The sequence below is a fragment of the Homo sapiens genome, chromosome X, assembly GCF_000001405.40.
Source record: "Homo sapiens chromosome X, GRCh38.p14 Primary Assembly".
NCBI classification, from domain to species: Eukaryota; Metazoa; Chordata; class Mammalia; order Primates; family Hominidae; genus Homo; species Homo sapiens.
In genome coordinates this window covers 2,216,308-2,232,902 of record NC_000023.11, presented here as the reverse complement: position 1 = coordinate 2,232,902, position 16,595 = coordinate 2,216,308, and the positions used below count along the sequence as shown (strand labels likewise).

Genomic DNA, 16,595 nt, shown 5'->3' with positions numbered 1-16,595 from the left:
TCTGGGAGCTCGTTAGAAATGCAGATTCTTGGGTCGGGCACGATGGCTCATGCCTGTAATCTCAGCACTTTTGGAGGCTGACATGGGCGAATCATGAGGTCAGGAGTTCGAGACCAGCCTGGCCAACATGGTGAAATCCTGTCTCTACTAAAAATACAAAAAATTAGCTGGATGTAGTGGCAGGCACCTGTAATCCCAGCTACTCGGGAGGCTGAGGCAGGAGAATTGCTTGAACTTGGGAGGCGGAGGTTGCAGTGAGCCAAGATCATGCCACTGCACTCCAGCCCTGGCATCTCAAATAAATAAATAAATAATAAAAAATAAAAAAAAATGCTGATTCTTGGGCCTCCTAAGATCCACTGAGTTAGAAATACCAGGGGTGCAGTTGTTTTTACAAGCTCTCTGGCCCATTCTCTTGAGTGCTAAGCGTGAGGACCCCAGACCCCAGGACTGCAGGGGATTGAGCCCCAGCTTTGGGGCTGTGGACAAAAGAAGATAGTTCTCGGTAATTCCATATGAATGCTCTATATGAATCCTAAAGGAAGTTCTGTTGCTTTAGTTGTTGTTGTTTTCAAAACAAGTGGATACAAGTTCATTCAGGAATCCCCCAGCCTCACACAAGTGAACAAGAGTGATTTCGATTCAGAGGAAGACTTTTAGAAACAGAAGGGTGTAGTGTGAAGGTTGTCTAGTTTTTTTTTAGGAAAAGCTGGATTATACTGTAAATTGATAATAGAGGGGGCAGAGAGAGAGGAGGAGAAAGAGGAAGGGGAAGAGGAGGAAGGGAAGGGAGAGAGAGAAAAAGGAAGATGAGGAAAAGGAGAAAAAATAAAAGGAGGAAGACAGAGGGATAGAAAGAGAAAAAGGAGGAGAAGGAAGAAGGAGGAGAAGATGAAGGAGGAGGAAAAAGGGAGGAATAGAGAAAAGGAAAGAAGGGCAGAAAGAAAAGAGAAGGAGGAGAGAAGAGGAAGAGAAAGATAGAGGAAAAGAAGAAGATAAGAGAAAGAGGAGGAGGAGGAAGAAGTTGGAGAAGATGGAGGAGGAAGAAGAGGGAGAAAATGAGAAAGAGGAGAAAGAAAGGAAGAGGAAGGGAGAGAGAGGGATAGAGAGAAAAACAGGAGGAGGATAAGGCAGAAAGGAGGAAGAGGACGAGGTGGAGGAGGAAGAAGAGAAGATGGAGGAGAAAAAAAGAGGAATAGAGAGTGAAAAGGCAAGAAGAGAAAAGAGGAGAAAGAAAAAAAGAAGAAAAGGCAGAGAGAGAAGAGAAAGGGAGAAAGAGATGGGAAAGGAGAATAAGGGAAAAAAGAAAAAGGAGGATACGATGGAGGAGGAAGAAGAGAGAAAAAGGAAGAGGAAGGGATAGAAGAATAGGAGGAGGATAAGGGGGAAAGAGAAGGAGAAGGAAGAAATGAAAGAGGAGGAGGATAAGATGGGGGAGGAAGAGAAAGAGGAATAGAGAGAGAAAAAGAGAAAAAGGAAGAGGAAGCAAAGGAGGAAGGAGAAGGGTGTGAGAGAGAGGGAGGGAAAGAGGGAGGTTCTCTCAGGCTCAGAGGTGATGCCACCCAGATCAGTTTGAGGTACACATTGGAAATGCCACAGAAGTTACAGAACTGGGAAGGGCCGTTTTGTCCAAGGAGATGCCATCTCTCCTTTCCACAGGGTATGTCTGTGATGGACTCTCTGGTGGCTCTAACAGACTCCCCAGGAACAAAGACATCATAGGCTCTGAGGCTGCCACCCTAAAAAGAAGTGTCCTCTTTGGATGGGAAACTTCTTCCCTTGAGTGGATAAATGCCCTCCTTTGGTTTAGCCTTAAAAGCCAGCCAGCAGTCTCTGTGCTTTTGATTGAAGGTCTCTGTGCGAGACCTTCCAGTGACTCAAGCTAAGAGATGAGCCAAGATCATTCCTGGAGCCCGGCATTTCTTCCTGGTTTCAGAATGCCCAGACTCTCTGCCATTGAGACCGTTCAATTTTGTATTAGTCGCAGTTCTCAAGAAAAACAGGACCAATAGGATCTATGCATAGAGAAAGATTTAGTTTAATTGACTCTTGGGATTGTAGGGGCGGGCAAGTCCAAAATTGGTAGGCTGGCTGGCAGGCTGGAGACCTGGCCAAGATTTGACATTGCAGCCTTGAGCCTAAAATCTGCAGGGCAGGCTGGACACTCAGGCAGGATTGCCCTGTCACAGTCTGGAGTGGAATTCCTTTTCTAGTAAGTGTCAGTGTTTGCTGTGAAGGCCTTCTCCTGATGAGGTGAGGCCCACCCACATTGTGAAGCGTCCTCTCCTTCGCTTAAATGCAACTGATTTGTAAATGTTAATGATATCCACAAACTACCCAGTCTGGTGCTTGACCAAATGTCTGGGCACCATAGCCCAGCCAATTGATACGTGAACTCAATCATCACAGAGCCCACTTAAGACCTGTGTTACCTGACATTAAACAGCACAAGCCATCTCCTCTCTGTTGTCTGTCAGGTGAGTGTTTATTCCTGGTAAGAGCAGGTTTGTGTGTGTGTCTTACGAGATTGTAGTTAAAGGAAGGTTTTCTTAATCCTCTCTGCTTCAGGTGGTCACTGAGGCCATGAAACATCCCTAGAAGTTTAGCACAACCCACAGCTCTCATTGGGGAGTTGAGAGCACGTGTGTGCACGTACACATGTGCACACTCATGCACACATACATGCACACATGTACAAATACACACATATAGATGCAAACACATGCGCGCACCTGCACCCCTCCCACACATGCATAGTATGTGCACACATGCTCACGTGCATAAATGCACACACACCTTCACATGCATAGACACACATGCACATATACACGTGCAAACCCATGCACACAGACATGCGTATATCCACACATCTGTGCCCACATGCATGTGTGCACATATGCATGAGCAAACACACATGCACACATTTATGCAAATGTATATTCCTATCGACACATGCACATATTCACATGTGCATTCATGCACATGCATGTACGTACATGTACTCACACATATCCATATACATACAGACATGCACATACACTCATACAATACACATCCCTCAAGTACACATTCACATGCATGCATACATATACACATGTGCAAACACACGCAGGCCCATACCCGCACATCTGCGCCCCCACACACATGCATGCACATATATTTATCCAAACACATGCATGAATACACACACGTACCCATTAACGTGTGCATTCATGCACGTGCACATACATATACATATACATACAGACATGCACATACAATCATACAATACACATCTACCCACAAGTACACACACATCCACATAAATGCGTACCTATGCATATCTGTGCACACACACACATGCACACATTATGTCACCCTATGATTTGCGTGTGAGTCAGCATCCCAGAAAACATCCAGCCCCGAAACCTATTTTCCAGAACATTCCAGAAGGAGCAAGCAGCAGGTACAGAGAGGCAAGAGGCAGGGGACATCGTGGCAGAAGCAGCAGGATCCCTGGGTGGCTGGAGCAGAGGTATGGAGAGGAAGTGTTGCCTTTGTAGAATGTTCAGAACATTCTTCCAGGAAGGCAGCTGAGCCTGGGCAGAAGTCTCTGAATTTCTCTTTGACCACAGCATTACTCCGTCCCCTCTTCCACAACTTTGGGGCGTGGAAACTCTCCTTGGGAAGCTCAGCTAGGAGTCTCTTTACTTGCCAGCCACTTCCCTGAGTGTGAGTTTCTGCCCTAAGATGTGGACGGTGCTAAAATAAATACATGTGCCCTCAGATCTCTCTCAGCACAACTCAAGGATCTACTAACAGCGTCTGCATTCAAATAGCAACATTTCCAGAAGGCGAACGAGCCTCTGCGTGCCTTGCAGAGAGCTGAGCGTTTGCCGCCCAAGCCCTGCTAGCCTCCTCCCTAGGAGACATCCCGGGTGATGCCATTCCTGCTGCCCTCTGCTCCTGGCAGTGGAGCGTTAGGTAGTTTCCTTGCAGACAGCACAGGGGATCCGTCCCAAGGACAAAGGGAAGCCCTGTGTGTGTCTCTTCTGCAAAGCCCAGCATGTCTAATACAAGTTAAGTGTGGAGTTCAGAGGGAACAGCTTTCTGAAGCTCTTTGAAGAGTCACAGGCAAATATCTCTGTGTGCCCTGGGTGCTATCTGGAGAACAGGAGCTCTAACAAAAAGGAAATCGTGGTTTGAATGACACAAAAGGGATTTGCTATTTCAAATTCACAATATCTGCCTTATCTTAGAAATCAGAATTCTCAGAGTCACCACAGATATTTGGTCAAATAGGGGCAGAACCAGAATTGGTAAATGCAGCAAAGGCTCTGAGGAATAAATTCCTCCCTCCCTTCCTTCCTCTTATCTTCTCTTTTTTCCTCCAGTCCTTCCTTTTGCCTCCCTTTTTTCCTTCCTTCCTCCCTTCCTTCCTTCCTTCCTCCCTCCCTCCCTCCCTCCCTCCCTTCCCTCCCTCCCTCCCTCCCTTCCTTCCTCCCTCCCTCCCTCCCTCCCTTCCTCCCTCCCTCCCTTCATTCCTCCCTCCCTCCCTCCCTTCCTTCCTCCCTCCCTCCCTCCCTTCCTCCCTCCCTCCCTCCCTCCCTTCCTCCCTCCCTCCCTTCCTCCCTCCCTCCCTCCCTTCCCTCCCTCCCTCCCTCCCTTCCTCCCTCCCTCTCTCCCTCCCTCTCTCCCTCCCTCTCTCCCTCCCTCCCTCCCTCCCTTCCCCCCTTCCCCCCTCCCTCCCTCCCTTCCCCCCTCCCTCCCTCCCTCCCTCCCTTCCCTCCCTCCCTCCCTCCCTTCCCTCCCTCCCTCCCTTCCTCCCTCCTTCCCTCCCTCCCTTCCCCTCTCCCTTCCTCCCTCCCTCCCTCCCTCCCTTCCCCCCTTCCTCCCTCCCTCCCTCCCTCCCTCCCTCCCTTCCCTCCCTCCCTCCCTCCCTTCCCTCCCTCCCTCCCTCCCTTCCCTCCCTCCCTCCCTTCCTCCCTCCCTCCCTTCCTCCCTCCCTCCCTTCCCTCCCTCCCTCCCTCCCTCCCTCCCTCCCTCTCTCCCTCCCTCCCTCCCTCCCTCTCTCCCTCCCTCTCTCCCTCCCTCTCTCCCTCCCTCCCTCCCTCCCTTCCCTCCCTCCCTTCCCCCCTCCCTTCCCCCCTCCCTCCCTCCCTTCCTTCCTCCTTCCCATCCTTCCCTCCCTCCCTCCCTCCCATCCTTCCTTCTCTTTGGTTCTTTGTTTCTCTTCTTTTTTTTTCTTTCTGTCTCTTTTCCTTCCTTCCTCCTTTCCTTCTTTGCTTCCTGCCTCCCTTCCTTCTTTGCTTCCTTCCTGTTTTTTTTTCTTTTTTCATCCTTCCCTTCCTCCCTTCTTCCCTCCTTTCTCCCTTTTTTCTTCCTCCCTCCTTTCTTCTCTGCTTCCTTTCTCTCTCCTTCCTTCCCTCTTTTCTGTCTTGTTCTCTGCTTCCTTCCTTTCTTACTGCCTCCCTCCCTCTCTCTCTGTGTCACTCCTTCCTTCCCTCCCATTATGCTTCCTTCTTTCCTTCCTTAATTCCTTTCTCTATTTCCTCCTTTCTTCTTCCTCTTTTTCTTTCTCCTTCTCTTTCTTCCTTCCATTGATTTTTTTTGTTTCTCTGTCTTTCTCCTTCCCTTTCACTCAACCCTTCACTGACCTTTGAATACCCAAAACAAAGGTGCTTTGACCCAGGCCATAGCTGATGACACTGAGTTGTTCCCAGCAGGTGCAGGATTCTGTGCAGACACGTCTGTCCCCTCCCTTCCTGCCCGGTTCTCAGCACTGCCTGGCATGTACAGATGTGGGTGCAGGGCTGGCTGGGGTGCAGGTGCAGGGTGCTCCAGCTGCACCTTCCGGAAAGACATTTCATGGAGTTAGGAGGAAAAGGGGCTGCCTCCGGAGGGAAAACTGAGGTATTCATTGTCAGCAGGAGGAAGGCTGACTCGAACCCTTCTTATTCTGCAGCAGCTCTGAGACAGGTCCCAGAGCTTCCCCTCTAACAAAAGCGACTCTGAGAACGATGAGTTGCTTTGCTGTTTTCCCTACCTGTCACATTCTCTGTGCTGCCCTAACACGAGAAACCGTGCCCATGGTCTGGGTGTTTTCTTTTTTTTCTTTCTTTTTTTTTTGAGATGGCATCTCGCTCTGTCGCCCAGGCTGGAGTGCAGTGGCGCCATCTCGGCTCACTGCAAGCCCCGCCTCCCGGGTTCACGCCATTCTCCTGCCTCCCGAGTAGCTGGGACTACAGGCGCTCGCCACCATGCCCGGCTAATTTTTTGTGTTTTTTAGTAGAGACGGGGTTTCACTGTGTTAGCCAGGATGGTCTTGATCTCCTGACCTCGCGATCCGCCTGCCTCGGCCTCCCAAAGTGCTGGGGTGACAGGCGTGAGCTACCGCGCCTGTGTTTTCTTTGGGGAAAAAGATCACAAAGGGCTGGGCCAGTCCAAGGTCTGCTTTGCAGAACGTGGCATTAGAGAGACAAATGCTGGCAGGAACCCTTGGTGTTCTTGAACAGTCCCATGAACACAGAGGGCTCTGTTTGCAATAGAGCTGTGGGGCAGACTGAATGAGCCAGGTAACCAACAGGAGATTGAAATGACTTGGGAGGGGAACTCGAGTAATTGCTCATGCTCCTGAAGTCTCTCCCCTCCCTGACTCTTGAGGTAGCAGGTAAGTGTGGGTATAATTGCCTGTTTCCTGGAAAAGAGGCTTTCTTGACATATGCACACAGCAGCCTGCGCCAATCCCAGTCAGGAGAGAAGTCACCTGGGCTTGGTCTCCATCTGCCGGGGTTGCCAGCCTGACGTCCCATAGACTGGGCAGCTTAGACAACAGACACTGATTTTCCCACCGTCCTGGAGGCTGGAAGTCCAAGATGAAGGTGTGGGCTGGGCGGGCTCCTCCCGAGGCCTCTCTCCTTGGGTTGTAGATGCTGTCTTCTCACTGTGTCCTCACAGGGTCGTCCCTCTGTGCATGTCTGTTTTCTCCTCATCTCCTCTTCTTATGAGCTGTCTCAGTCCATTTCAGGCTGCTATCACAGAATACCATAGACTGGGTGGCTTATAAACAACAGACGTTGACTCTCCCACAGTCCTGGAGGCTGGAAGTCTGACATCAAGGTGTGGGCAGGGCTGGTTCCTCCTGAGGTCTCTCTCCTGGGCTTGGAGACGCCGTCTTTTCCCTGTGTCCTCACAGGGTTGTCCCTCTGTGTGTGTCTGTGTCCTCATCTCCTTTTCTTATGACATGTCTTAGTCCAGTTCTGGCTGCTGTCACAGAATACCATAGACTGGGTGGCTTAGAAACGACATACATTGATTCTCCCACAGTCCTGGAGGCTGGAGGTCTAAGATCAAGGTGTGGGCAGGGCTGGTTCCTCCTGAGGCCTCTCTCCTTGGTTTCATATTTTGCAATATTAGGATAAATAATCTGTGCATGTGTATGAGTGTGTGCATGCAAATGAATATATAAGCATGTTTGCATGTGTATAAGTATGCATGTGAATGAGTATGTGAATGTACACGTGGATGAGCATGTGTGCATGTGAATGAGTGTGAGCATGTGTGCATGTGTATGTGCGTACTTGTGAATGAGGGTGCGTGCATGTGTATGTGTGCATGTGAATGTGTGTACATGTGAAAGTGCATGTGTGTGAGCTGTGTGCATGTGAATGAGTGTGAGCATGTGTGACTGCATGTGAATGTGTGTACATGTGAATGTGCATGCAAATGTGTGCATGTGTGAGCTGTGTGCGTGTGTGAGTGCATGTGAATGTGTGTACATGTGAATGAGTGCATGTGAATGAGTGTGTGCATGTGTGTGAGCTGTGTGCATGTGAATGAGTGAGCATGTGAGTGCATGTGAATATGTAAATGTGAATGCATGTGTGAATGTGAGCTGTGTGCATGTGAATGAGTGTGAGCATGTGTGTGTGCATGTGAATTAGTGTGCATGTGAATGTGAGCATGTGTGTGAGCTGTGTACATGTGAATGAGTGCATGTGAATGTGTGTGTACGTGTGTGTGTGCGAGTGTGAGCATGTGTGCGTGTGAGCTGTGTGCATGCGAATTTGTGTGCATGTGAATGAGTATATGTGAGCATGTGTTCATGTGAGTTTGTGTACATGTAAATGAGCATGTGTGCATGTGAATGAGTGTGAGTATGCATGTGCAAGTAAGTGTGCATGTGTGTGTGCGTATGCATGAGTATGTGTGTGTCCATATGTGTATATATATTTGTGTGCATGTGAGTACATACGAATGTATGTGTGCATGTCAGCATGTAAGTGACCATGCGCACATGAATATGTGTGTGCGTGTGTTTTTCTTACAGAAAAAAAATCATCCAATAGAACTTCATCACGTCGTCATCTCTGTGTCCCCAGAAATACCTACATTTTCAGCACAATGCGCTTGCTGTCTTCTAGAAATCACAAGCTCATTTTCAACATAGCACAGGTGGTATCTTGCCCCCTAAAACGGTAGTACTTGTGTCGCAATTGAATATGCATAGCCCAAGAACTCTTACTCAGATAAGAGGATTTTTCAAAATATGGTAGAAACAGAAGCCCCCAGACACTGCCCACAGGGGAACCACAAAGAGGAAGCCTCCTTCCAGAGAGTGCTGAGTTTGTTCAACAATAGGGACGATGCAGGAGAACCCAGGAGCGGCCTAAGCTGCAGCTGCAGAACACAGGGGCCTCTCCGGGTGGAGGCATCATACTACATGGTCAAGACACAGGTCGGGTATTTGGGGCATGAGCCCCTGAATCCTCAGTGTCAATGATGGCAGACAACAACACAAAACTTGTTCCAGGAGCTGATTTAAGGATTTGTTTGCAAAGAAGGCACAGCACTAAATATAACACAGTGTGGGTGAACATCTCAGGCACCAGCGTGAGGTGTAAATGCTCATTTCTGCGCAGCAGGAACCATGGTCTCTCCTGGGGACCCAGGGTGGCCCCCATCTGGCCTCTCTGATCACTTTGTCCAGAGCAGCAGTGTGGGAAGGGGCACCATGTTGGATTCACAGCTGCAGTGCTTGGTGTCCCTGCCTTTTATATGGAAGTGGGCTGGGCCCCAGAAAGACTCCGTATTTTCCAGCTACAAGATGATGGAGAAGGAAGAAGAATGCCGGCTTTGGGAGCAGATCCTGCCTGGAAATTGGGCAGAACACAGCCGCAAAAGAGAGAAGCATGAAACAGATCAATAAAACCTCTTTCTGCGTTGAAGGCTGCCCCAGAGAAAGACCCTCAAACACCATGGGTGCCTTCACTTGGCCCCTGCCTTCCCTCTCCCTTTCCTCCTGCTCTGTTCTGTCCTTCCTCCCTTCCTCTTTCCATCCCTTTCGCCTTTACTTTTGGTCTTTAGATGCCCAGGGCAAGACACGGGACACAGGGCTCCCCTGCAAGAGCCAAGCCATGGCGCCTGCATCCGCCCCCGAGATGTTTTCAGATACAGTCTCTCTATTAGTCTGTTCTCATGCTGCTAATAAAGACATGCCCAAGACTGGGTGATTTATAGAGGAAAGAGGCTTAATGGACTCAGTTCCATGTGGCTGGGGAGGCCTGACAATCATGGCGGAAGGTGAAGGAGGAGCAAAGGCATGTCTTACATGGCAGCAGGCAAGAGAGTGTGTGCAGGGGAGCGGCCTTTTATAAAACCATCAGATGTCATGGGACTTATTCATTATCATGAGAACAGCACGAGAAAGATCTCCCATGATTCAATTACCTCCCACTGGCTCCCTCCCTTGACACATGGGAATTATGGGAGCTACAGTTCAAGATGAAATTTGGGTGGGGACACAGCCAAACCGTATCAGCCTCCAAATCTCCCAGGACACTTTGGGTTTGCAAGATCTCTGGGCACCCCTAGGTGATTTCCAGACTTGGGAAGTTCTCTAGCTCCATCCATTTCTTTTTAGGCAGCAGAAGAGCAGAGGCAAGTCAGTGGGAAACAATCTCAGGAGTCTGGCAGCTCTGTTCCTCTACTGGGGTCCAGCCTTCCTGTTCCCCTTGCTCGGCACCCAGAGGATGGGCTGGTGGGCACACTGGATTGTCTACCATGCCTTTCCACGTCACACTGGCTGCTGAAGTCAAGACCAGGAGGCAGTGAACTGACAGCAGCAGAATTTCTGAAGTGACTGGGTGTCACAGGCCACCCCACAGAGTCCACCCTTTTCCTTTTTGGAGGGTGTGTGCCTGAACTCTCACCAGTGCTAGGTTTTGCCATGTGGCCCACACTCATCTTGAACTCCTGGACTCAAGCAGTCCTCCTGCCTTGTTCTCCCAAAGCACTGGGATTACAGGCCTGAGCCACTGCAGTGCTAGGGGCACTGGTGAGAGGTGAAATCAGTTCGGGCAAATGGATCATCACTCCCAGAAGACTAGAGGGGACATAACAAAGGCAATATCTGGTCTTTATTCCTGGTTCTGTAACAAGGAGGAGCTTCTAAAACTCTCGCAATTTCACAAATGCTAGCAATTCCCTGGTTGTATAATGAGGTGATATTTGCTGTTTCCTAAATGGCTTCAAGATGGGGCTGGCCACCAGAAACACCAACCATGTCATTAGGAGGTTGGAATTTCAGGCCAGCCTGACCTCTGGGGAGGAAAGAGGAACTGGAGGTTGAATCTGATTATGTGGCCAATGACTTAATCATACCTATGCAATGAGACCCCAGTAAAAACTCTGGACATCAAATGTCTTAGTCTGTTTGTGTTGCTATCACAAAACAACATAGGCTGGGCAACCGGTAAACATTTGTTGCTCACAGTTCTGGAGGCTGGAAGTTCAAGATCAATGCATGGCAGATTCTGTGTCTGGAAGGGACCTGCTTTCTGGTTCACAGACGGTGCCTCATTACTGTGTCCCCACATGGTGGATACGTTCACCAGATTCCCAGAAGCTTATTACAAGAGACAACTTCTGAAACATCTTCATTGTGACAGAAGTTAAGATGCACTGTGTTGGTTCCTGGATTATTGCATCCTAGCTCTGAAGGTTCTCAGGTCCCACAACTTCTAATTCCTCTGAGAATCCTACATTTCTTCCATCCCACTGACCATGACCAAGGGCCAACTCCCACTGCAGAAAACCAGGGTGTGCTGTGTTTCAAGATTATCGCCTTCCACTAGGGTAAAATCCCCAGTCTTTGAAAAACCTTTTTCTGCATCTCAAGTTCCTTTTTGAAACGTCTGTTTCCATGAAACATACGATCACAGCTCATAAATGCCTCAATTCTCCGATGTAGCATGCCTTGCTGAATTGAAAACAAGAATCTTTTTGATGTCCTGATGTTTCATCTAATTGCTAAATATTGTTTATTAAATACAGAAGCCAAGCACTCACTCATCTGCTTCTAGTCAATTAATAAGCATTTCGGTCCCATAAAGAGTGCGTGATTAAATACGTACATCAGGGATTTTAATATGCATCTGCCTAGTGAGATGGATTAACCCACCACTGAAATGCAACCCACTTGGGTACGTTATTGTCAGTGCCTGTTGTAAAGAAACCCAACAGCAGAAAAGCTGTGGTTCAGATTGATCACCCAACCTCGCTTTTTGCATACATTTCTCAGTGCAGCTGATGAGTATATTCCACCTGTCCCTGCAGCATCCATGTGAGTCCTGAGACTCCTGTTTCCTGCTCAGAAATTTGACTCATCGTAGCCTTCTTTTCTTCTTCCACCAGACCCCCGATGAAGGAGCGTGGACTTCCATCTACGCAGCAGTCACCCCAGAGCTGGAAGGAGTTGGTGGCCATTACCTATACAACGAGAAAGAGACCAAGTCCCTCCACGTCACCTACAACCAGAAACTGCAGCAGCAGCTGTGGTCTAAGAGTTGTGAGATGACTGGGGTCCTTGATGTGACCCTGTGATATCCTGTCTCAGGATAGCTGCTGCCCCAAGAAACACATTGCACCTGCCAATAGCTTGTGGGTCTGTGAAGACTGCGGTGTTTGAGTTTCTCACACCCACCTGCCCACAGGGCTCTGTCCTCTAGTTTTGAGACAGCTGCCTCAACCTCTGCAGAACTTCAAGAAGCCAAATAAACATTTTGGAGGATAATCACCCCAAGTGGTCTTCAACCATAAACTTTGTGATTCCAAAGTGCCCAGTTGTCACAGGTGCCATAAATAATTACATTTTCCAACATAAATGTGCCATTTTCCTTGCCGCGTTAATACAACTGAGTACAAAAGTTCCAAGAGAGATGCTCTCTTTTCAGGGGCTGCAATGTCCTCTCTGAGACCTAGTGGTGGATGAGGTCTCCTGTTTGATTTTGTTCCTGCACTCACTCATTTTTCCAGAGACCCAGCTGTGATTCACAGGTGTCAGACATGGGGAGGTGTGAGCCTTGCTTGCTACAGCCTGTAGGATGAGTTTGACGTGGCCAGCAGCACCATCTGGTCAACCTCATTCCAGAATGGCACAGTCACAAGTGAAGCATGCCACTGTCAAATCCGAGAATGTAAACCGCTGAACAGCTATGGATCAAATGGTAGCCCTCAAAAGATATGTTCATGCCCTAACCCTCAGAACCTATAAATATTACTTTATTTGGAAAAGAATCTTTGCAGATAGAATTAAGAATTTTGAGATGGGTCATTATGGATCATCCCAGTGAACCTAATGCCATCACGAGGGTTCTTATCAGAGACAGGTAGAGGGAGATTTGAGTACAGAAGACAAGATATTCGTGTGATGATGCAGACAGAGACTGGAGTGATGCCACCACAAGCCAAGCAATGCCTGGAGCCACCAGGAGCTGGGACAGGCAGGAAGGATTCTCCCTTATACCCCTCAGAGCAATCTTGGCCCCTCTGACGTCTTGACTTTAGACTTCTGGTCCCCAGAACGGAGAGAGAATAAATCTTTCTTGTTTTAAGGCTCCAACAAATTGGTAGTCACTTGTTACAGCAACCACAGGAAATGTATACAGCTTCTGATACTTCTGAAAACCTCACACAGCCAAAGGGTACATCCTTGGTATAGAGGCTCACTCTTACTCACCAGCCAGGCAAGGAAGGCTCAATCCTTTGGTGTTAGAGAGATAGATGTTGGGTTTTCAAATTTCAACATAGAGAAATCAGTCATTTGCAATGCTTTTGAGAAAGTACTGTGTATACCCTACGAGCCTGCACTCCTTATGTGTGAGACTGATGACCATTGGTTGGCTTATTATCCATTCCACTAAGTGACAAAATCCCACTGACTATTCAAATCCAGGCTCCTGGCATGCCTGTACCTTAGAATCACAACCAGCTGCAATTCCAGGATGGAGTTCAAACTAATTGTGGGGGCATGTGCTTCTTACATGACTGCTAGATTGTTCCCAGATGGGGAAGGTTGCCCTGATAAGCAACTTAAATGAAAATAATAAATGTATTGTTTGGCCTCTTTAAAAAAAAAATCATTCATCCTCCGGGAATGGGTTTGTCACCACAGATGGTGATTTTCCTTGGTAGATAACCAGGATGCCTGGATTTCTGTTGTTCCTTTACAGAAAACCAGGAATTTTATGTCATGGACCCACTAGACAGGGGACCTTCCTTGGTACAAAAGGATAAGAAATGTGGATTTGTTCCCTGGGATATTCACGTTAGATGCTTACTACATCATCGGTGTAAGGTCAGCCGAGAGAGAGGATGAGGAGACCTAAAGTCAGGCAAGCAAACTTTACTGAGCTGCTTGGCTGCTCCACCACAGTTAGTGGAGGCAGCCCCACTTACAGACTATAGCAGGGTTTTATAGGGCCAGAACCAGGTCGGGGTGGGGGAGCTGAGTCGAGGGTGCAGGAGGATTGGGTTGGGGTGGGGGAGCTGAGTAGGGGGTGCAAGTGTCTTGACCGCATCCTGGAGATGTTTTTCACCAGCTTTGTTATGCAAGGTTCACAGACATGCTAACCACATCCTGTAACTGTCTGGACAAACAGTTACTGGAGGGGTCAGTGAAGGCGGGGGGCGTTTGTCTTTAGCCCTGGGGGAGCTGTGTGGAGAGTGCAAGGGACTGTATTGTAAGGCCTGTGGAAGGGGAAGGGAACGGTCTGGTTGGGGTGACCCTAACAATCGGTATGCTTCTGTTTCGGGCAGAGCTCAGACCTCAATACCCAGGACTCTCAGTGCAGAAAGAATGAGCTCAAGCCCCTTCTGCAGAAAGATGCAGTCTCTGTGCAGAATGTCTGCTTATATCCTGAGACCCTTCATAGGAAAACCATGAATGATACAACCAGACTAACAGGCCAGGAAACAGCCTCCGGGAAGGAGAGGTTGCCAGAGGTTACAAGGAACAATGAAACTTGCAGGAAACATGCATGATATTCACCTCCCTAGTGTAGCTGGATTCATGGTGCTGCAGGGAGACGTGAAGCCCAACGGTGAAAACTTGCAACAAGATTTATGGTGCAGGGGTCTGTCCCACAGACCCTGACCAAGTGATGGGTGAATGAAGTACATTGACACACAGCTATTCTGCTTTGCCAGTTTGGCTGAGCATCCAAGCCACTTAGTAGCAGCCGTGGCCTCGATCAGTCAGCAAGACTTGCATTTATTCAGTAAAGATTAATTGACAAAGGTTGTGAGTCAACACCACTAGAGGGAAATTGACATTGCGGACTTCCCTAAGTAGAAAGCAATGAAGCACCTGCGATACATAAAAGGTTAGTCTTAGGACCACATGAGTAAACAAGTTAGTTAGAGACATTCCCCACATTCCTTTGCTTCTACTCTAATTTATTTAACTAAAGGTAAGGGGACTAGGCTGCCTTCAGCCAGGTTTATTACTGAAGTTATACAAACGCTCAGGCCTTCCCAGAGGGTTTGTGTCTACTATAACTAAAATTTTCCCCACCAGCCTGACTAAACCCCCACATCTGGATCTGTAGAGGCCCCAACATCACATCTGCCAAGCTTCCCATGGGGCTTAGGTCTCTGTGTGAAGATGATGTAGATGGTCCCATGAGATGGCTGTGTGTTCAGACAGCCCATTGCAGGTTATGACATTGATCAGTTTTCCAGGCCTGCTGTAACAAGTAACCACAACTAGGGACCTCATGACAAAAGGAATTATTTCTCCTCTCCCAGCTCTGGAGACCAGAAGATTGAGATCAAGATGTCTCAGGGCTCTGCTCCATCCGGAGGTTCTAAGGAAGGATCAATTCCTGCCTCTCTTAGTTCCTAGGGGCTCCAGGCATCCCTTTGACTTGTGGTTGCATGACTCCAGTGTCACATGCGTGTAATCCCAGCTACTTGGGAGGCTGAGACAGGAGAATTGCTTGAACCCAGGAGGTGGAGGTTGCGGTGAGCCGAGATCACGCCATTGCAATCCAGCCTGGGAAACGAGTGAAACTCCGTCTCAAAAAAAAAAAAAAAATCCTTATTTCCAAATAAAGTCTTATTCCCAGGCTCTGGGTATTATGATATAGGCAGATCTTTTTGGGAGACCACAGTTCAGTCCACTACAGTTGCGTCCAGTTCCATCCAGAGGCTCGAGGAGAGGATCCTTCCTGCCTCTCCCAGCTCCTGGGGGCTCCAGGCATCCCTGGGCTTGTGGCCGCATCACTGCAGTCTCTGCCTCTGTCTCCACGTGGCCTTCTCCTCTGTGTGTGTGTGTCTTCTTCTGTCTCTTAGAAGGAAGCCTGTCATTGGATTTAGGGCCCACCCTACTCCAGAATGATCTCATCTCAAGATCTTAACTCATTGCATCTTCAAAGATCCTTATTTCCAGCCAGGCACAGTGGCTCACACCTGTAATCTCAGCACTTTGGGAGGGTGAGGTGGGCAAATCACCTGAGGTCAGGAGTTCGACACCAGCCTGACCAACATGGAGAAACCCCATCTCTACCCCATCATTACAAAAATTTTTAACCCCATCATTACAAAATTCTGTAATTTTGTAAAAATACAAAATTAGCCAGACATGGTGTCACATGCCTGTAATCACAGCTACTCGGGAGACTGAGACAGGAGAATTGCTTGAACCCAGGAGGTGGAGGTTGCGGTGAGCCGAGATCTCGCCATCGCAACCCAGCCTGGGCAACAAGAGTGAAACTCTGTCTCAAAAAAAAATCCTTATTTCCAAATGAAGTCTCATTCCCAGGCTCTGGATATTAGGATATAGACAGATCTTTGTGGGAGACCACAGTTCAGTCCACTACAATTGTGTCCAGTTCCATCCAGAGGCTCTAGGAGAGGATGCTTCCTGCCTCTCCCAGCTCCTGGGGTCTCCAGGTGTCCCTGAGCTTGTGCCCGCATCACTGTAGTCTCTGCCTCTGTCTCCACGTGGCCTTCTCCTCTGTGTCTGTGTGTCTTCTTCTGTCTCTTAGAAGGACACCTGTCATTGGATTTAGGGCCTACCCTACTCCAGGATGATCTCATCTCAAGATCTTTAATTCACTGCATCTTCAAAGATCCTTATTTCCAAATAAGTTCTCATTCCCAGGCTCTGGGTATTAGGGTATAGACAGATCTTTTTGGGAGACCACAGTTCAGTCCACTACAATTGTGTCCAGTTCCCTCCAGAGGCTCTAAGAGAAGAACATTCCTGCCCCTCCCATCTCCTGGGGGCTCCAGACATTCCTTGGGCTTGTGGCCACATCACTCCAGTCTCTGCC

The 16,595-nt window shown here is 48.6% G+C and overlaps 1 protein-coding gene across 1 annotated transcript in view; it reads left to right on the top strand.

Annotated features, from left to right (window-relative positions):
- DHRSX (dehydrogenase/reductase X-linked) overlaps positions 1–13,397 on the top strand; it is a 281,471-nt gene extending 268,074 nt beyond the window's left edge. The window contains exon 7 of the mRNA NM_145177.3: positions 11,674–13,397. Within this exon, the coding sequence (NP_660160.2) occupies positions 11,674–11,862 (189 nt within the window). The 3' untranslated portion in view covers positions 11,863–13,397. The remainder of the gene's footprint in view (positions 1–11,673) is intronic.
- The last annotated feature ends 3,198 nt before the right edge of the window (positions 13,398–16,595 follow it).